Here is a 22,511-nt window from a genome sequence, read left to right on the forward strand (position 1 = left end):
AAAAGTCTATGCTCTTTTCATTGCAGAATCATCTTTTAATTTTTGGTAATGTGGTTTTACTCCAGGTGTGTCTAGTTTCAAATAACTGAAATAAATTTGAACTACTTTTTTAAAAAAGGAAAAGTTGTTTTAAAGACAAGGAGTCTCTTGAGGAACCTAAAGATAGGACTCCAGCTGGCTTCTAGGAGGAACTGGAACTGAGAACTGTTTAGCTAGAGTTCTGTTCCTCTGACTCTTCCCTCCTGTCTTGCACATCTGCTTTATGTTCTGTCTGTAGTTTTCTCTGCTGCTTGTGTAGATGACAGAATATGGGTGCTGCACAGCTTTGACCAGGCACAGAGATGAGCTGTCCCTAAATCCAAATTCCTAGTAGGGAAAATCTGATTGACTCTGCTTCATTTGTATTTTTATTTATTTTTAAGACAGGGCCTTGCTTTGTCACCCAGGCTGGAGTGCAGTGGCACCATCATGGCTCACTACAGTGTTGACCTCCTGGGTTCAAGTGACCCTCCTGTCTCAGCCTCCTAAGTATTATAGCTGGGACTACAGGCACATGCCACCAGCTAATTTAGCCCAGCTAATTCTTTTCTTTTCTCTTTTCTTTTTCCTTTTTTTCCTCCCTTCCTTCCTTCCTTCCTGCCTCCCTTCCCTTCATTCTTTCTTTCATTCTTTCCTTTTTTTTTTTTTTTTCAAGGTCTTGCTCTGTTGCCCAGGCTGGTCTCTAACTCCTGGCCTCAAGCAATCATCCTGTCTTAGCCTCCTAAAGTGTTGGGGTTACAGGCATGAGCCACTGCACCTGGCTGGCTCTCCTTTCAACAGACATCCATCGTGAGTCCAATCAGCTTTTAGCCAAGAAGGCAGAATTACATAAACCAGACATGGCTGCCACTCATGGCACCAGTTTTGACTGGTAGGAATGTGTGACTCTAGTCTTTTCTCACTCATCTGGTATGGCTGCAGCCTATTCTGTGTACTCTGTTACATGGAGAAGTCTAATAGTTTCCTTTCCTGTTTGACCCATGATTATAGCTCTTTGAAGAGCAAATAAGACTAGGACAGGTGTGGCCAATATGCTGACATGTCAGTGATTTTCTTCTTTTGAAACACATCCTCATTGTTTCCACAATCTCATTCCTTATAGCCTGATTTTCCCCCACCCCACCCCACCTGTCTCATATAGGAATACAGTTAGAGTATCTGCTCAAAAGAAATCACCCACTTTCTTTGGAGCTCAACTTTTCACTTGGGCTACAGCTCCAACTGACTCCCTTTGCCAATATAAACCCCTCCCCAAACTTGTTGTGCTTATTCTCTATGATAATGTTGAGAGTCCTTTTCCCAGTTGTCACTACTTATCCAGAAGTTGGTCCACTTTTTCTCATTGGGCACACTGAGAAGAATAAATTCACGAGGGCTCTTAGGAACAAATGGTGGTCACCAACTCTTTTCTCAATTGAAGTAGCTCCAATGGAAGGGGGTCAAATCTCAACACCCAGTTACATACATGTATACTTTCTGTTTTCTTCTACAGCTGTAAAGAAAAGGAAACTCAAGAGGAAAAAATTATTGTTACATTTTTTGTAGGTGGTCCCAAACTTACGAATGTTTAGGGTTCCTAAATGTTTAGCGTTCTAGTTGTTTAGAACTTGGAACTTATTTTATTTTGGATACAATACTGTACTTGCTGCTTTAGGTTTCTAGCCAAACTGCAAATAATAATTTGGCCTACAATATAGCTGATTTGACCTTGAATTATGACCTCGAAATTTACCTTACCCTTAAAATTAGAGTCTGAACTCTTCTGGTCAATAGCCTGAATTCATTAGCTTTCTAGATACTCATTCCCCTAAGCTTCTCTAAAGTTTGGTACTCCCTGGAACCTCTGTTTTCCTCTTACTGTAGAGGAGGTAGGGGGACAACATAGAGGTATGTAAGTGGATGATGGATGTGGGCTCCAGGTATTGAAAGATGTAGTGGCAGTAGATGGTACAAAAAGAAGGATAGGACTGAGTAGAAAGTAGTGAGTTTTATGACCTTAGTGATGCTCAAAAAAAGAGGAGGCTGGTGAAGAGGAATAGGGTGGAAAGAATGGCTGGCTGCAATTGTTGATAAATAGATATTGCATGTAGTCAATGTCTACATTTAAAATATTAACTATTTTTTGTATGCAATTCTTTGAGTTGCTCTTCCCGCCCCCCCCCCCCCATTATTTTTTTTTATCTTACTTATTTGTTTGTTTGTTTTGAGACAGGGTCTCACTCTGTCACCCAGGCTGGAGTGCAGTGGTGTGATCATGGCTTACTGCAGCCTCAACCTCTCAGGCTCAAGTGATCCTCCGGCTTCAGCCTCCCAGGTAGCTGGAACAACAGATGCATGTCTCCACACCCAGCTAATATTTTGATTATTTGTAAAAACGAGGTCTCCCTATATTGGCCAGGTTGGTCTTGAACTTCTGGGCTCAAGTGATTCTGCCACCTTGGCCTCCCAAAGTGCTGGGATTACAGGTGTGAGCCACTGCGCTGTGCCTATCTTTCTTCTCCATTAACCTGCAGTAAATAGAGAATAAATTTTACAGCATTCATCATTTGTTTAGCTGGGTCCCTGAACTTGCCTCCCTGGGATAAGGCACCATGACTGCACAGATCCAGCCAGATAATAGAAGGTGTGCACTGGCTTCTCACTGCATGGCTATGTAGTGTAATCACAGCGTGCCTTTGTGGGGCTCCTGTTTATGTGGCTTTAGTAGATGATTTCATCCTCTTTTCTGACTTGGAACCAGACAACTTTACATTCTCAGCAAACAGATGGACAACAGGGTTGAAATAAGATCTTGTACTGAAATAGTCCTTGAGTCATACTCCTTGACTGTTCTCTCATACGGGAAACTTGCCTCTTCCTTCTTGCAGAAGGCCAAGGCTGAGAATTCAGTGTACTCAGAGTTGCTGGACTCTTTTCTCAATATATATTATGTTGGATATTTTTCTTCTTGGTCAAGATTGAGAGTCTGCCAGTATAAGAATATTATCTAATTTGTTTTGGCAGAACACCTGGCCTTTTGCCCCAAGCAGATGTTTAAAAATAGAACTAAAAGTTTTGCATTAACTTGTTTTTGTCCTCTTTCCAAAAAAGATCCTGACATGAGAAAAAAGGGGAGCTTGATTTTACCTATGGTTTTATTTGGGAAGCAAGGGTGCTCTAGTTCAGGGGTGTCCAATCTTTTGGCTTCCCTGGGCCACATTGGAAGAAGAAGAATTTTCTTGGGCCACACATAAAATACACTAACATTAATGACAGCCAATGAGCTAAAAAAAATTGCAAAAAAAATTGTATAATGTTTTAAGAAAGTTTACAAATTTGTGTTAGGCTGCATTCAAAACCATCTTGGGTCACAGGGCTGCAGGCTGTACAAGCTTGCTCTAGCTGAAACTCACCTGACTTGGTCATTGGCTTCTAGTGTACATTGTGCCAGTAACTGTGTGACCTTGGGAAAGTCAGTTCGTCTTTCAATGCTGTTTCCCCATCTGTAAAATGGGAGTGATAAAACCTCAACTGAAGGGTTGTTGTAAGTATTAAATGAAATGACATTTGTGAAAGTATTCAGATGAGATAATAGTGCTGTATTAACATAGATTTTTTTAAAGGTACAAAAAGAATTATATTAAATCAGTAACATACATTTATATGTATGAGGGAGGGATATTTAAAATTAAAATATTATATAATCACAAGAAAGACCTTGCTCTTCCCTTGGGCATCCAAGAAAATTAAAGCCTGTTTTATATCACCAAAATGAAAAAGACGCTTGATAGAAGTAACAGTGCTCAATGCTTGGAACCCAACTCAATTCATACTCTTGTTAGATAAGTCCAAATTCTAAAGGCTACAAAAATCCTGTTAAATCAAGGGGAAAAAATTAATTTTAGGATAAAGTTATTCAAGATGAAAGAAAGGCATGTCTTCAGTGAGAGAACTGCCTGCTGTCGGATGATATCTTGCTAATGTATTTAAAGATTTTGGACTTTTCAATTTTCTTGATTTTCTGGTAGCCAAATCCACCACCACCCCCTTGCTTTTTCTGCTTGGCTTCATTGCAGTTGATGTTCAGATCAACAAAGGGAGTCACCTTGAAACCAAATGACAGAGCAACTTGAGGCAAATTTAAGTTATTAACATTAAAGATCTGTTTCAGAGAATGGTAATCATAGGCTTGTATGTACGGCTTATATGGTTTCTGGGCTGACTTACGAAGAAAGTAGTTCTTTTCAATCAATTTCTCAAGCTGGGACTTAATGTCAGAAATTTTAGACCAGAAAAATTCTAATAAACTCAATGGAACCTTGGATTGTTTCAAGTAGCGAAGAAAACCCAATTATTCTGGGCACAAAATGAGCAGGGCATGCCCTCTCCCATTTAGGCCTCTGGCTGTTCTGCCCACACAATGAATATATTCCTTAGGGTCATCCGGAGGGTCATACTGAACAATCCAGTCAACTTCAGGAATGTCCAGTCCTCTTGTTGCCACATCCGTACACAATAGTGTTCCTGAATCTGGGTTGCAGAACTGGAAGAATGTGGTTGTACACTTATTTTGCTTTTGCTTTCCATGAATGGCCACGTAGGGCAAATCAATGTAGTTCAGCAACTCATAGGGGTATTTCACGGACATACAAGATGAAAAGAAGGCCATAAGCTTCTTCTTTTGTTTCTTCTTAAGGAATGTAAAGAGCAGAAGGAATCTCTTTTTGGAAGGACAAACAACATATCCCTGCTCAAGACCATTCACTGTTGCATTAGCTTTATCATCATCAACACCAAAATACAATGGCTCCTTTTTCAGAGAAATCCTTGCCAGGCCTTCAACTTTTTGAGTTTGGGTGGCAGAAAAGAGCATAGTCTGTCTACATGTTGGCAAAAGTTTAATAACTTGCTTTAATTCCTCTTCAAACCCAACATCCAAGATATGATCAGCTTCATCAATAACCAGACACTGCAGGTTTTTATACATAAACCCTGGGGTATTCTGCATATGGTCCAGCAGACAGCGTGGTGTGGCCACAATGATGTTGATCCCATTAGCAAGTTTCTGTGCTTCAGCAGATCTGTTACTGCCACCCATTATCAACCCATAGGTATGTACCTGGCAAGTCTTTAGCTCCGTAAGAACACCAAAAGTTTGCATGGCTAGTTCTCAAGTAGGAGAGAATGACTCCCGTTCCATTCCTGGGCATGAACTTTAACTTAACAATGAGTTCAACTGCAGGGATGAGAAAAGCCAGGGTTTTACCACTGCCTGTTTTTGCAGCTGCCAGAAGTCCCTGCCTTCCAGAAGTGGTCTGATACTTTTGTGCTGAATTTCAGTCATGTTTGTAAAACCCATTTCTTTTATTGCCTTCAGAGTGTTTTCATTGACAAGATTATGTAGAGAAACAAATGAAGTATCCTCAAAAGCTCCTGTCAGTCCCAGGGGCAGGCTGGGCACCTCACTATCATCTTCATCATTATCTGGCTTCTCCACATTATTTTCTGTTTCTTTAGGAGTCTCTGCACTTTCTTCTTCAGATTCCCCTTTGTTTTCAGTTTTTGCTTTTTTTGTATCAGGCACAACATCGTTCAGCATTTTTCTCTTTTTCTTCTTCTTTTTCTTTTTTGATTCTGAATTGGGAGACTGCATTGCTGCTTCTCCATTGATTAATATGGTGGATTTCTGGGGAGATTTTTTAACTTTTATATTTTCCACTGCTTCTTGAGACATGTCTCCATTTGGAGCTCCTGATAAGCCCATGTTCATAGAATGTTTTGATTTTTTAACCTTTCCACCTCCCATTGTTTCTTCAGACACATTTCCATTTTGAGTTTCTGATAGGGTCAGATTTGAGGCCCCCTGCAACTTTAGGTTCTGCTGCCGCAATTTGAGGTTCCGCTTTTGTATCTTCTTGCACAGGAGTTTCATCCGCAGGTGAGACATGCTGTCCAAGAAGTGCCTAGACCACGGCGCCACACAGTCAACATAGATTTTTGATATGGTTTGGCTGTATCCCCCACCCAAATCTCACCTTGAATTGTAATAATCCCATGTGTCAAGGGCAGGGCAAGGTAGAGATAATTGAATCATGGGGTGGTTTCCCCCATAGTGTTCTCATGGTAGTGAATAAGTCTCACAAGACCTGATGATTTTATAAATGGGAGTTCCCCTGCCCAAGCTCTCTTGTCTGCCACCATGTAAGATGTGCCTTTGCTTCTCCTTTGCCTTCTGCCATGATTGTGAGGCCTCCCCAGCTCTGCGGAACTGTGAGTCCATTAAACCTCTTTCCTTTATAAATTACCCACTCTTGGGTATGTCTTTATTAGCAGCATGAGAATGAACTAATATAATGTTGTTTAATTTTCAGAGATTAGAACTATCCTTCCTCTATAACAAAATAGTTCATAATGAGCAAGGAGTAATTAATCCACTTAAATATTTACTTATTCTAAACTAAGTATATTTGCTCACTGCCTTTTATTCAATCCTTGCTGGAGAGAGTTAATAATGTTGACCTGTGATTTCATTTTTTTTTTTGAGATCTGCTTGATTTATTCCGATTATTTAATACACAGTGACATAACTGTGATCCCAAAGAGTGCAGAGTTAAAGCCTTCAACTGCAGCTGAGGAGAGGGCAGGAATGGTACACCTGCGGATGATGGTGAGTCAGGAATGATGGGCAGGGGGCCATGACCAGGATAGCCTCCTCCCCAGGGCCTGGGACAGGGGAGTGGCCTGAGGAACAGGACCCAAGGGTAGCCCAGTGCCAGGGAAGGGGTCAGAGACCTCCCCCTGGCCTAGGTCTGGAGCTCAGAACTGCCACATGGCTGAGGGGGCAGCAGCCTGGGAAGGACCAGAGGCAGGGCCAGGAGAGCACCATTTCCTGGGGGGCTGAGGGCAGGGAGGTGCCCTACAGGAGAAGCCAGGAGGGGCCACCTGCTCCTGGGGTGGGGGCCAGGCTGGAGCAGGCTGCAGCAAGAAAGACCTGAGGCAGGTGCAGGGCCTGAGAGCCTAGGGGGATGGTGTGGGGGTGCTCCCAGGGCAGCCTGGCCCAGGGAGCAGTCCTGACTCAGCAGAGGATACCCAGGGAGGGGCTGCAGACCCCTCAGGACCTCCCCTCCTCTCTCCCTGGAAAGGAGCTGGGGAACCTGTAGTGCAAATCTGTGGACCACTCAGTTATGGAGGGAGGCTGTGCCTGAAGGGGGGACACTGGGGTGCGCCCCGTCCACCATCTCGGCCTCCACCACTGTCCTCAGTACAGCCGCTTCTCGTGAGAGCACAGGCCATGGACACCACCCTCGATCTGGGCCAACACGGTCTGCTTCTCAAACTTGAGCCCTCCTGAGTACATCATGGACCAAAGGACAGACAGTCTGTGGCCCCGATATCCTGGCAGCCATGCTGGATGCCCGCTATGAGGTAGGGCATGAACTTCTAAATGGAACCTTTGTACTGGATGGAACACGAGACACCCTGCGTGATCTTCACCTTATCCCCCTCGCTGAAGTATTGTTTCTGGCTGCTGCTGCTCTTCTCCATGGCATCCAGTGAGCCCATGCCCTGGTGCTTCTTTTTTTGTTTTGTTTTGTTTTTTTTTTTTTTTGAGACAGAGTTTTGTTCTTGTTGCCCAGGCTGGAGTGCAATGGCACAATCTCAGCTCACCGCAACTTCTGCCCCCCAGGTTCAAGCAATTCTCCTGCCTCAGCCTCCAGAGTAGTTGAGATTACAGGCATGCACCACCATGCCCAGCTAATTTTGTATTTTTAGTAGAGATGGGGTTTCTCCATATTGAGGCTCGTCTCGAACTCCTGACCTCAGGTGATCTGCCTGCCTCAGCCTCCCAAAGTGCTGGGATTATAGGCATGAGCCACCGCGCCCAGCTCCCCAGTACTTCTTAAGCCGCACCCCGTCTGAGAAGTACTTGCAGGGGGCCTCCGTGATGGCAGCCAGCAGGCAGCCCATCATCACTGTGGAGGCTCCAAGTTCCAGGGCCTTGACCACATGCTCCACGGTCCTATGATGGGCACACCAAAGCGTTGGGCATACTTGGCCACCTTGTACACAGCAGTGCCCTGGGGCCGACCGCAGGCCATCACTTCCTGGGTGATGCAGATGGAGCTGCAGCCCATCCCCACGCGCAGCCCGTCCACACCAGCATCAATCAGGTTCTTTCCCTGGGCTGCTGTCACTATGTTCCCCCCAATCACCTGGAGGTTGGGGTACTTCTGTTTGATGTAATGCACTATGGCGATCTGATACACTTGAGTTCCCTTGGGATGAGTCCAAGATTATGAAGTCGTCGCCCGCCTGGGTGAGCAGGTCCAGGCAGTATTTGCCATCCTCATGAGTGCCCACAGCTGCATATATATGTATATGCTGCAACATATATATTGTCCAAGGTCCTGTAGAAGGACACCCACAGCAGCTGCTCGTGGGAATCCTTGGAGGCCAGCGGGTAGTCTCGGTTCTTCTTCAGGTCGGTGCAGGCGATAATGGCCACCAGCTCATCGAGATCGTTGACGATAGGCAGCTTCCCTTTCTTGCTACGCTGCAGGATCTCATTTGCCTCTTTCAACATCACGCCTGCTGGAGCCACCACCAGCTCGATCCTTGGCATCATCACCTCACTGAGGAGGGTGTTGTGATCCTTCTCAGCAAGAAAGTTGATGTCCGCGGAGGTGATGATGCCCACCAGCTTGCTACCCATGATGTCCGTCTCAGTCATCGGAATGCCAGAGAAGCCATGCCGCATCTTGGCCTCCAGCACATAACCACAGTGTGCGAGGGGCTCAGCACCACCAGGTCTGTGATGAAGCCCCCCTGTTCAAACTTCTTGACCTTCTGCACCTCTTGGCCTGGAACTCTGGGGTGCAGTTGTGGTGAATGAAACCAATACCTCCCATCAGAGCCATCGCAATGGCCATGTCGGCCTCTGTCACAGTGTCCATGGGGGAGGAGATCAGCGTCAGCGGCGTCTTCAGCGTGATCTTCCGGGTCAGGACTGAGGTCAGGTCCACCTCATCAGCTATGAAGTCTATGAATCCTGGGAGAATCGGGACGTCGTTGTAGGTGAGGCCGTCAGCGCTGGTGAAGAGCTGCTGTGGGATGAGCCCGTCCTCAGGCACGTAGCCGGTGCAGCAGTTGCTCAGATAGTCCGCCATGCTGCGGGAGACCCCGCGACCCCACGTAAACACCCGCGCAGCCGCTGCTGCTGCTGCTGTTGTTACTGTTGCCGCCATTTTTTAAATATAAAATATAGTCTAATTCAGGGCATGCTGTGGATCACAATGCCTCATCCTGCTCACTTGGGGTTATTTATTGCCGTCACACTTTCTGGTAAGAGACATAAACTGATGTAATATCAAAGGAACACCATAAGCCATTTGAACTGTTGAACTGATATAATCATGAACTGGGCAGGTGGCCATCCAAGTTTACAGCATTCTTTTGGGCATGATGGTATCTGATTTCTGCTTTCTTATCTCTCTCCATTTTGATAGCCTCAGGTGTATGCTGCAACATATATATTGTCCAAGGTCCTGTAGAAGTATGTGTAAAAATTGCAGGTTGAAAAGATTGGAAAATACTTTTAAGGATTAACCCTATGTAGTAACATTGTTCACTCTCAAAAGTTTTGTCTCAGTACGTGGATTACTTCCATCAAAAGAGGATTTTGGATTGGTTATTTTCAGCATAACCACTGAGAATGAGAGCTTCAGCCTGTGTATGCATTAGGTCCTACAAAAGGAAGACAGATACTGGGCAAGGATCCCCTCATCCTGATAGAATGGTTTGGGAGCCTTGCACCAAAGTTTCTCTTATTTGTTTTGATTTGTTCTCACCTTTACATAGGGAGGTGAGGGTAAACTAGTTATGACTGAACTGCTTATCTTTATTCACAGTGCTTATCAGAGGAGTATAAAATACTTCTTTTATCTTTTGATACAATTAGAAATTTATGTGTTATTAACATATCATTAATGAGCTTCTTTGGGTTTAGAAGGCACCAGAAATTAACAAACAATTAGGAATAAAATTAGGGTTTACTTTCCATGATTATCTTTTGCTTTTATTATAGCTTGAAAAAGTTTATAAATAAGTTGTTTTAAAGTTTTTTTAAAAATATTTTTTAAGACCTGGGGTCTCACTATGTTGCCCAAGCTGGTCTTGAACTCCTGGCCTAAAGCAATTCTCCTGCCTCAGCTTCCTGAGTTTTAAAGTTTTTATTTTTTTATTTTTATTTTTTAATTAAAAGCCTGGGATGGAGAAACTTGTTCTCTGCCATCAACAAAGCTTACCTCTTATCCACCTCTCTGACTTTGCTCATGTAATTCCTTTTGCCCAGTAGGCCCTTCTTCCTCCTTCTCTCCATTGTCTTCCCACATTTCTACCCACTAAATCCTCCAGGTCTTACAGGGCTGGGCTCAAAATGCTGAGTGCCTTCCTGAAACTCGGTGCTACTCTGACCAGCTGACAGGCCTAATTGTCTTTTTTGACACCACTTGAAGTCTTATGTTTTATTTATCTTTGTATTCCCAGTACCTAATAAATAACCTGTAGATAATAGGAGCTTTAGAAGTGTTTGTTGAATAGAGCAATGAAAGTAAGAGCATTACAGAAGACAGGAAGCCTAGAACAGGGTGTCTAACTATATGGTGGGGAAAAGTGAGTAGGAGGGAGATTCCAGAAAAGATACACCTTGAATGACATGTTTTTCTGTGTGTGTGTGTGTGTGGGTGGGATGAAGAGCTATTGGTCAGGTGGAAAAGGTAGGGAAGAATGGCCTTGGTAAATGGAGAACCAAGGAATCTGTGAATGTGAAATTTAGAGTACTTAGAAATATTTAGTATGGCTGAAACCAAAATGCAAAGTGAAGATGGAGGAAAAGAAGATGACTCTGAAATGACAGGCAGGTTGTATATTTGAACTTTGTGCCAATTAAAAAATCATTTAGGTTAGTAGTTAGAATTGCCTCTGTGATGCTCAGGTCAATAGTATAAATAAAAGTCAGGTGTGGGATTAGCTTTCATGAGCTCATTTGATTAGAAGAGCTTGAATATTTAATTCATTATGTAACAATTACCTCAGAGTAAATGGGCTGGGCATGATGGCTCACACCTGCAATCTCAGCACTTTTGGGAGGTCAAGGCAGGAGGATCACTTGAGGCCAGGAGTTTGAGACCAAACTAGGTAACATAATGAGATTCCTGTCTCTATAAAGAAAAAAAAAAAAAGTAAATGGGTGGGTATAACAGTTTGTGTTTGAAACAAATGTTTGCTGAAATCACAGACTGAAACCCTAGACATTTTAAGGTAATTCTTCCTGACATAGAGGTGAAAATACTGGAGTCTCAATTTAACCCTAAATGGTTAAATAGTGAATGTCCCATTTTGTGGGACAACTTTATAGCCAATACTATGCCTCAGTGAGGCTTTCCTGTTGTATCAGTTACTAACCATTTAAAAATGTGATACTTATCAGCTTATAAGTAGATAAGCTTTTTTTTTTTTTTTTATAATGACTACTTTTGTAAAGATTAAAAGAAATAATGTATGTAGAATGCTTAGTACCAAGTACCATGCCTGGCATACAATAGGTATTCAGTAATATAATATGTTTTTTTTCTCAAACTCCCAGAGAGCTGAGGAAGCTTCCACTTTATCATTATGAACTTTCAGAAGAAATAACATCCTGTCTCCAAGTGTACCCTTGCTAAAATATCCGCTAATTCTTTTGTAGAAGTTTGGAATTTCCTTGGTGATTTTAAACAAGATTTCCGCTCTCAAGTGTGTTCATTGTACGAGTCCTGTATCACCAAGGCTGATCTGAGTACAGAATCGTCAAGCCTCAGTGGGACTAAATATTTCAGGATTTCTTGTATTTGAAATAGTTCTGGCAAGGCACGGTGGCCCATGCCTGTAATCCCAGCACTTTGGGAGGCCAAGGTGGGTGGATCAGCTGAGGTCAGGAGTTTGAGACCAGCCTGGCCAACATGGTGAAACCCTGTCTCTACTAAAATTACAAAAAATTAGCCAGGCATGGTGGCAGACACCTGTAATCCCAGCTTCTCAGGAGGCTGAGGCAGGAGAATCGCTTGAACCCGAGAGGCAGAGGTTGCAGTGAGCTGAGAAAAAAAAGAATTAGTTCTGATCTCTTTCACCTCAAGGGTTCAATGAATCATGCGGAGGCCTTCCTGATATATGAGACAGATAGTTTTCTTTTGGATTTATGGTTGGGCAGCAGGTTTGCCTGAGCTACTAATACTGAGTAGGAATTGAGATGCCAGGTTGGAAAATGAAAACTTAAACCAAGTTATTGCTGGGCATAACTCAGGAGTATTGCATGCCTTTGGTTTGTCTTGATTAAATTCCAAGGTGATACAATCATCAGGCTATTAAAAATAATCATCTGACTATTAAAAATAATTAATTGCCTTGTTTTCTACTTAGCGGTATAATGGCTCCAGATTTGTAAGTTAGAATGCATTTTGCAATGGGACAATGAAACAGGGGCAATTGTTACTGTGATTTAATGTTTAGGGGGCAGGGCAGGTTGCCTGGCCACATCACCATGAGGCTTTTCAGGGAGTATTTCTTTGGATATGTGTAATTTTCCAAACCCCAATAACTAGAAAAATAGACTTATTAACCTACTTGGCCAAAATAAAGTAAAACTATAACAAATATAAAAGTAGAGGTTTTGTAGATCACATTTCTTCACCACAATCCAATTAAATTAGAAACCAATACTAAACATATGACCAGAAAATAACTACTTGAAAACTAAGAAACACTCTCCCAGATAAACCTTTGATCAAAGAGAAAATATAAGAGAAGCAAAAGGTTCTTTGGAGAGGAATAACAAAGTATACTTTATACCCAAATCTTTAAGGCATAGCATATACTCAAAACTTTACTTAGAAAAAAATTTATACCAGTAAATATCTTTATTATTCATGAAGAAGAGGACAGCAAAACACGTACCTGCCTCCAACACCTCATAAACAAAACAAACAACATACACACAAGGTAGGAAGAAGGGATGATAAAGTTACAAGTGAGAATTAATGGAATAAGGAAAAAATGTAGGACAGTTAAATAAGACAAAATACTGGAAAAAGTATAAGAGCAAGAGTATAACAAGATTAGGAACAAGGAAACAAATGCATTACAGATGCATGAAAGATGGGAAGAATTATAAGAATTATACATGGACACTCCTGGCTAACACGGTGAAACCCCGTCTCTACTAAAAAAATACAAAAACAAAAACAAAATTAGCCGGGCGTGGTGGCGGGCACCTGTAGTCCCAGCTACTTGGGAGGCTGAGGCGGGAGAATAGCATGAACCCGGGAGGCGGAGCTTTCAATGAGTGAGATTGCGCCACTGCATTCCAGCCTGGGCAACAAAGTGAGACTCCGTCTCAAAAAAAAAAAAGGCCAGGTGCAGTGGCTCACACCTGTAATCCCAGCACTTTGGGAGGCCAAGGCACGTGTATCACGAGGTCAGGAGACTGAGACGATCCTGGCTAACATGGTGAAACCCCATCTCTGCTAAAAATAAAAAAAATTAGCCGGGCATAGTGGCGGGCACCTGTAGTCCCAGCTACTCGGGAGGCTGAGGCAGGAGAATGGCGTGAACCTGGTAGGCAGAGCTTGCAGTGAGCCAAGATCGCGCCACTGCACTCCAGCCTGGGCAACAGAGTGAGACTCCATCTCAAAAAAAAAAAAAAAGTATACATGCACACTAGGAGCAAAACTATGGAAACTAATGTGAAAATATGGAAGAAACAAATAACTCATAAGCAAAATATAAATGACCAGAATTGATTCAAGTAGAAGACTCAAAAAGATCAATTACTGTAGAAGTCCCAGCCTCTTTGTGTCCCATTTGATATTTGCTCTGAGTTTCTTATTTTTAAGGAAGTATTATGTTAACAAGGCATTAAAATAAGATGGGATGGTGGCTCTCCACTTTGTATACCGGGTTTTGCTGTGGTCTCTTCTAGTGGTGTGTAAGGTGCTTGTGTTGTGAAGAGTAATTTTACTTGTGTTTAAATTTGAAAGGTGATGCATATAACCCTGCTTTCCCCCCATTTCTCTTTCAATGCAAGTTAACTTACACCTCCCTTTAAAGAACAGCATGCCAAGAACTGGCTGATAAAATGAAATATGTTCCTACCCTGGTGGCTGAGGACAGCCAACTCCTTCCAGTCTAGATGATGCTGGGAGAAGTACTTGATGCTGCTACCTCTGTGAGCTACTTGGTATACCAGTCAGTTGTACCATGGTCCCCAGAGGGACCTGCAGAAAGCTGGAAGTGGCCAGGCTGACTTGGTGGGTCAATTGAAAGTGTGTAAAGTCTGAATGCTCTTGGTATATGGTTTTGCCATTTTTGTATGGTGTAAATCTATAACTACTGTTTTAACATTTATTTTGGAACAGTCCCTTTTGTCAGGAAATGAGCTAAAAAAGTGAAAGTTTAATAAAAAAATAAGTAGCAAATTTCTGTTTCTCAAGGATGTTGGTGATGAATGTGTGATTCACAAATCTACTGAAGCTGCATCAATGTCTACTTCAAAAGTTTGTAATTGTTTTTAAGAATACTTTGCCCAAAGACAATGATTTAACACGTGTGGGCTGCAGGAGGTGTCATTTTATTTCATTTTGTGAAGCATGACTTTTCATTTAAATCAAATGACTCTTCTAAATAGATTTTCGCCATTTTCAATTTTAAGTTTTCTTATGAATATATAAAAAGTGAAGTAATAGCTGTTAATGTGTTTTGCTCCATTAGCAGAAAAGGAATTTTTTTTTTTTCTATAGTGACGAGGTCTTACTGTGTTGCCCAGATTGGCATTGAACTCCTGGACTCAACTAATTCCCCCGCTTTGGTTTACCAAAGAGCTGGGATTACAGGTGTGAGCCACCATGCTTGGCCTGGAATTTTTTTTTTTTTTTTTTTTTTTTTTTTTTGAGACAGTGTCTCACTCTGTCGCACAGGCTGGAGTGCAGTGGCACGATCTTGGCTCACTGCAACCACCACCTCCCGGGTTCAAGCAGTTCTTTGCCTCAGCCTCCGAAGTAGCTGGGATTATAAGTGCCCCCCACCACGACTGGCTAATTTTTGTATTTTTAGTAGAGATGGGGTTTCGCCATCTTGGCCATGCTGATCTTGAATTCCTGACCTCGTGATCCACCTGCCTCGGCCTCCCAAAGTGTTGTTTGTTTGTTTGTTTTGTTTTTTTAATCAAGATACATGTTGGGGAGATTTATTGTAAATCAATCGATGAGACATATGACTCATACTCAGGGATGTTACTGGAACTGGCTTTTTGGATCTTGCCATCACTAGAGGTAATGCTTGATTTTTTCACTGACCATAGAGATGTTTCAAAATCAGTGACATAAGCTGCACTCTATGTCCACTGAGGCCAACTGCAGCAACAAATGTATTGAAGTATTCAGTCCAGGGCAAAGATGCATGTTCCTCCGGCTTTTACTTTTGCTGTAAGGGCAGAAGTAAAGAAACATTTATTTTGGCTAACATAAAGTCATTATAAATGAAGCAGGAGGGCCGTGGAGGATAAAGAGCAGTAGCCTGACAATATTAGTGGGGAAATTAAGAAATGGTGTGTGCTTCATGTCGGCAGAGGTGCCATGAGCAGGATTCACATGTGCATCCATTGTGGTCATTTCTGGACTACCTGGTGGGAATCCTTGGAGAGGGGACTCCTCTCCAAGTGCATGAAATTGTTGAGCCCTGAGTGCCATAGTGAGACAAAAATGGAGCATAAGCAACACTGACAGGCTTCAGGTTCAAGTCGACGACAAAGAAACAATTGGAATACACTGTAAAGGCAGGCCATCCAACCTAGATTTCCCCTCAGTGAAGAAATCCCTTTCATTGTGTCCTGGAAAAAAGTACAATCAGTAGGATAGCCCCGTGGAAGCTTAATGTCAATCTATGGATTGGCTTCATCACAAACTTCCTAGGAAGCTTTAGATATCAACATCTCCCAGAGATTTTGATTCAGTAGGTCTGAAGTGGGGCCTGGGATTCTGTATTAAAAAAAATTTCAGCCAGGCATGGTGGCTCATGCCCATAATCCCTGTACTTTGGGAGGCCAAGGCAGGAGGATCACTTGAGGCCAGGAGTTTGAGATTCGCCTGGGCAACATAGGGAGAACTCTGTCTCTTCAAATAACAATTAAAAAAAATTAGCTAGGCGTGGTGGATGGTGGCACTTGGGGTCCAAGCTACTAGGGAGGCTGAGGCAGGAGGAGCACTTGAGCCTGGGAATTTGAGGCTGCAGTGAGCTGAGATGGTACCACTGCATTCAAGCCTGGGTGACAGAACGAGACCCTGTCTCAAAGAAAAAGGAGCAAGGTGAGCAGAGAATGGGAATGATGAAATGACCCAGATTTGGGGATTGGAGTGACGATGGAAGATTAAGGAATTAAAGGATTGTAGGATGCTAAATTCCAATCCCCAAATGGGAAGAGAAAAACATATTTACTATTGATTAAGTGGAAGTGGATCATCATAAAGGTCTTCATTCTTGTGGTCTTCATGTTGAGTAGGTTGAGGAGTGACAGATTGGTCTTGCTGTCTCAGGGGTGGCAGAGGTAGAAGAAAATCCACACATAAATGGACCCATGCAGCTCAAACCTGTGTTGTTCAGGGTCAACTGTAATTCAATATAAAAATAGATTTTTTTTTTTTTTTTTTTTTTTTTGAGACGGAGTCTCACTCTGTCACCCAGGCTGGAGTGCAGTGGCGCAATCTCAGCTCACTGCAACCTCCGCCTCCTGGGTTCAAGCGATTCTCATGCCTCAGACTCCCAAGATTACAGGTGGGCGCCACCATGTCTGGCTAAAAAATAGGAATATTAATAATATATTTAGTATAATTTTCCCCAAGCTTGCTAGATACTGGAGCACTGAAGATAGAGTATGTTCTCAATTACAATTATTATTTACAGAAAAGAGTCAATTGAAGGTGTCACAATTTCAAATTTATTAACTATGAAATGTACCTTTGAAGAAGATTACAGGAATATTTAGTAAATTAAAGATATTGACCAGGCGGCAGTGGCTCATGCCTGTAATCCCAGCACTTTGAGAGGCCAAAGTGAGAGAACCGCATGAGGCCAGGAGAAGTTCAAGACCAGCCTGGGCAACGTAGTGAGACCTTGTTTCTTACAAAACAAGAACAACAACAAAACAATTCAAAAATTAGCCAGACATGGTGGCATGTGATCATAGTCCTAGTTACTACAGAGGCTGAGATGGCAGGATCTCTTGAGCCCAGGAGTTTGAGGCTGCACTAAGCTATGATCTTGCTACTGTACTCCAGCCTGGACAATAGATGGAGATCCTATCTCTAAAAAATAACAATTAAAAAATGAAAGATATCATATTGAAAGTATAACATTCTTCATAAAAATAGCAATGAGTCAGTATTAGTGATAAACTGATGAAAGTATCTGAATATGTGCCAAGAATAATTATTTACCTTGTTTTATATATATATGTATTTTTTATGTGTGTGTATATATATATGTGTATCTATATACGTGTGTGTGTATATATACATATATATATATATATACATATATATATATATATACTTTTTTTTTTGAGACAGAGTCTCACATTGTTGCCCAGGCTGGAGTGCAGTGGCACCATCTAGGCTCACTGCAAGCTTCGCCTCCTGGGTTCAAGCGATTCTCGTGCCTCAGTCTCCCAAGTAGCTGGTATTACAGGCGCACACCACCACACCGGAATAATTTTTGTATTTTTAGTAGAGATAGGGTCTCGCCGTGTTGGGCAGGCTGGTCTTGAACTCCTGACCTCAGTTGATCCACCCACCTCGGGCTTCCAAAGTGCTGGGATTAGAGGCATGGGCCCCCCAGCCCCTTGTTATGTTTTTAATATAAACATTAATCAATATAAAAATATTTTAGGTTGGGTGTGGTGGCTCATGCCTGTAATCCCAGTGCTTTGGGAGGTCGAGGTGGGAGTATTTCTTGAGACCAGCCTCGGTAATACAGTGGGACCCCATCTCTACAAAAAATTTAAAAAATTAGCTGGGCATGGTGGCATGTGCCTGTAGTCCTAAGGCTGGAGAATTGTTCAACGCTGCAGTAAGATATGATTCCACCACTGCACTTCAGACTGGGCAACAGAATGAGACCCCATCTCTTAAAAAACAAGTTTAAGAAAAGTTTTATTTTTGAAGATCATTTTTGAACTATTTTATTAGTCCAACAATACAATAAAACCAATTATTTTGTCAATTAGTGTATATTTTAAAAGTTCCATCATTTCCATTATTTATTAGCATCTTCTTTCATTGTCAAAGTGTCCTGGTTTGAATGAGAAATTTATGGTCATTCTGTCTTTAAAAGTCAGATAATTACAATGTTATTCAACCTATCCCAGATTATAGAAAAAAATAAGTATTCCCCCAATTTGCTTTATGAAGCCAGCATATCTTGAATACCAGTATAGGATAATACAATATGATCAAGAAAGTATTATTCCAGGAATATGAAATTGGTTTCATATCAGAAAATCCAGCCACTTAGTCCATTATATAAAAACTATAAAAGATTAGTAATATTGATTGTATCAATAGTCTCTGAAAGCCATCTGATGAAGTTCTATTCCTAATAAAGTACTATTCCTAACAAAACTCTTAAGGAGGAATAGAAGGAAATTACTTAAACGTAATAAAGACTGTTTGTGAAAAAACTAGCAAACTTCATTATAAATGATGAACTATTAAAACAATTACATAAGAATCTAGATAGGAAAGCCTATGATCAGTTTTTTTAAATTTATCATTACCTTTGGTGTTCTAACAAATGCAACAAGACAAAAAGTTGTGTTTTTGATATATTTACTGGAAAATAAAAAATAAAAGCATCTTTTTTTGTTGTTGTTGCTGACATGATTGTGCACATACCACCAAACATGAGACTAAATTTAAAAAGCCACTCTAGTAGAATTGGTAAAATATTTGGGAAAATGGCTGGATGCAAGATAAATATATGAATTGAAATCTTCTGTTTTACCAGTGGGCACTAAGAAATGGGGATATGTGTTCCCTTAAATGATATGATAAAACTCTAAAAATAAACAATATAAAGTTCTTGCAATTCAGAATAGAATAGCAACTTAGTGTTAAAAAATTACATAAAATGACTATAAAGTTTTATATTGTCAAATGCCCTATTCAAGAAAAGTATGAAAAATAAGAATGCTATAAAGTCACTGTAATCAAGATAGTATTGGCTTAGCAATACACAAACATTAGAACAGAATAGATTCAAAAATAGTTGCTTCAGAGTAGATAAATCAGAATACAGATAATATTTGATACATATTGTGGTCCAATTCAGTGGAAAAATCATGAGTTAACAAATTATTCTGGCATAGGTAGTTCTCTATCTGGTTAAAATACAACAGGACTCATCATAAATGATACAAAGTGAATTCCCTGATGGATGAAAAACAAATTTAACAAATTACCATTTCACAGGAAAATCCAGAAAAACACACATGTACAAGCTAAAGCTTAGGAAACCTTTTAAAGGATGGAAAACCCAGGAACTATATAAGAAAAGGAATAAATATCAGATATATGCAGTCAAAACCCATTGTGTGGCAGCAGTAATGTTAAATCAATAGACATCAGCTATGTCTGGAAAAAGTATTTGTAAAATATACTGCAGGAAAAGTACTATTAACAATAATTTACAAAGAGCTCTTATAAATTGACAGGAAAAAATTTAAGCTGTACTAAAACAAAATGGATAGAGGGAATAAATAGATGGTTCACAGAGTTAAGATAGGGGTGTGTGTGTGTGTGTGTGTGTGTGTGTGTGTGTGTGTGTGTGTGTGTATCATACATAGTCTGATGAAGGAGCACAGAGAAAAATGCAAATGGTTAGAAGACCCCCTAGGAAAATAGGTGAGTGAGGAGCTGATGTGAATAGAAAGTAAAAAAAAAATATGTATGATGACACTCTTCTTGCAGGACTGTTGAAGGAGATGGGCATGTAAACAATGAGAGTGCTTTATACGTGCCACAGAAGAGGAATACAGGAAGCTGGGCTGGAGGAGGGAGGAAAAGACTGTGCATTGGAGTGGAGATGACCCTGGGCAAGGTGTTTTTCTTCACTATTGGCCTTCTGAGATAATTCCTTGCATCTGGGGTCATGGTGACTTTCATGAGATTAGCATGGTTTTGTTGATCAGGCGTAATAAGAATTTAAAAGTTATTTTCGAGACCCTTGGAAAAAGGTGCTTTGCAAAGACATGTCACTTGACTGTGATGATTGCTTATTTAAACCCACGGTCATGTGTTTAATCTGAATGTGACTCCTTTTCAGGGGAATGAGAAAGATCTATTTTAGGACTGCTGATATGTAAGAAGGACCTCTCCGAGGTTCCTTTTTGTTGGAGATGTAAACGTGGTGGCACACAGAGTCTGTGGTTGTTGCTGCACAGACTAAGGCATGAGATGTTTCTCGAGGGCTGTCCTGTGACATGTGCTGTGGGGAGATGTATTGAAACAACAGCCAACCCTCTTGAGACATATTCTCAAGGTATAGGTATGGAGGGTATAGAGGGTGGCAGGTACCCAGTAGTAACTGTAGAAGGGAAATAGACTTTGCCAGCATAGGGGATATTGTGTCTCCTGTAGGATCCAGGACAGGGTCCCTCCCCCTTGAGGTACCTGCATTTATTTCCCCATGCAGTGGTTCTCTGCTCCTCTCCATACTCCATCCATCCCTGGCTTCCATGTTTTCACTTTTGTTTCTTTGATCTGTTGCAGATGGTAGTGTTTGTTAACTCTGTCTGGTTTCCTGGTTTCATTGGGGACTTGGTGATTCACTATTTTGCGGGAAGAGGGAGGAGATGGGGAAAGGAGAAGGTGGAGAAAAGAAGGACGTGACATTTCTGTCATAGAGAAAACAAGTTTTTAAGGTGCCTTTCAAAATAAAGTCCTGCTGGAAAGTTAACATCTATAATATTCCTACCTGTGACTAATTTGGTGTCTGTAGGGTGGAGTCTGAATTCCAAGAATTGAGTTCCCCATCTGTTAAGCCAAGAAGTAATTTGAATCTTAATTCAGGGCAGTCCTCTGTGTCAATGCTGGATGCAAATGCACAGTACGAAGTGCTTCATTTCCTGTAAACTAGTTAATACATTGGCTGTGGTGATGACTATGGGAACACTGGGGATTTTTTCCCCCCAAAATTGATTGTCTTATGCAGGAATTTGGAGGTGACAGTAATAGCAGGATTACCGTAAACCTTGCAAACATAAGGATTATCAAGACAATTTCTTCTGACTCTCTAGTGGAGAATTTTAATTCAGGGCTAGTGCAGAATCATTTTTTTCTGGAGAGAGTGAGGTGCTGAACTCCACGATCTCATTGGTCCTTAACCCTAACTTGCTAGTGGTGTCATATAGGATATGAGAGTCCTGGACGACAGAATCCCGTGGAGTCTTGATCTCTCATTCAGCTCTCTATCCTGAGTCATTATGGGCTCTCATGTGGAATAATGGCAATGGCAGTTGGACATGATTCTGTTTTTTTCTTGTTGGGTCCCAGTTGGTTTTGACTTGCTCTGTAAAGCGTTGAGATACTTCATGTTAAGTATGAAATATAACCAAGATGACATGTCTCAAGTTTTGTGAAACTTATGTTATCATACTACATGACTGGATGTATGTCCTATATGTGTATGTCCTATATATGTGTATGTAACTGGATGATGTCCTCTGGTCACAGTTTTACTTTCTTTTTTTTTTTTTTTTTTTTTTGAGACAGAGTCTCGCTCTGTCACCAGGTTGGAGTGCAGTGGCACAATCTCAGCTCACTGCAAACTCTGCCTCCTGGGTTCAAGTGATTCTCCTGCCTCAGCCTCCCAAGTAGCTGGGATTACAGGCATGTGCCACTATGCCGAGCTAATTTTTGTATTTTTAGTAGACACAGGGTTTCACCATGTTGGTCAGGCTGGTCTCGATCTCCTGACCTTGTGATCCACCTGCCTTGGCCTCCCAAAGTGCTGGGATTACAGGCATGAGCTACCGTGCCCGGCCCACAGTTTCACTTTCTATGTAGTTCGATATCTGTTCTTTGACTGCTGTGCTACCCTGAATACATCTCTGGCATAGTTTCTATCATACTATTTTGTAATAGTCTTATTTTGTATTATCTTAAGCTTAGTTCTAGATGTGAAACACTCAATAATGCTGAACGAATAAGATCCACCCCGTTAGATGCAATAGAAAAATGCAAATTAAATTGTAGCTGTTTGGAAATGAGAAATGACCAAACTGTCAGAACACCATGACCTTTGCCTTATATCTGTTCCTGTGGAGAGAGATCTGCATCTATTGCAGAAGCTGGTTTCCCAGTACTTGCATTCTTATAGCTGATTTATTGAGACCGAACAAACCATTAAAA

The 22,511-nt window shown here is 41.5% G+C and overlaps 2 pseudogenes; both read right to left on the bottom strand.

The window, feature by feature from the left end:
* DDX18P3 (DEAD-box helicase 18 pseudogene 3) lies at window positions 3,638–6,003 on the bottom strand (annotated as a pseudogene).
* On the bottom strand, window positions 6,558–9,261 carry IMPDH1P9 (inosine monophosphate dehydrogenase 1 pseudogene 9; annotated as a pseudogene).

This window comes from Homo sapiens, chromosome 6 (assembly GCF_000001405.40).
Source record: "Homo sapiens chromosome 6, GRCh38.p14 Primary Assembly".
NCBI lineage: Eukaryota > Metazoa > Chordata > Mammalia > Primates > Hominidae > Homo > Homo sapiens.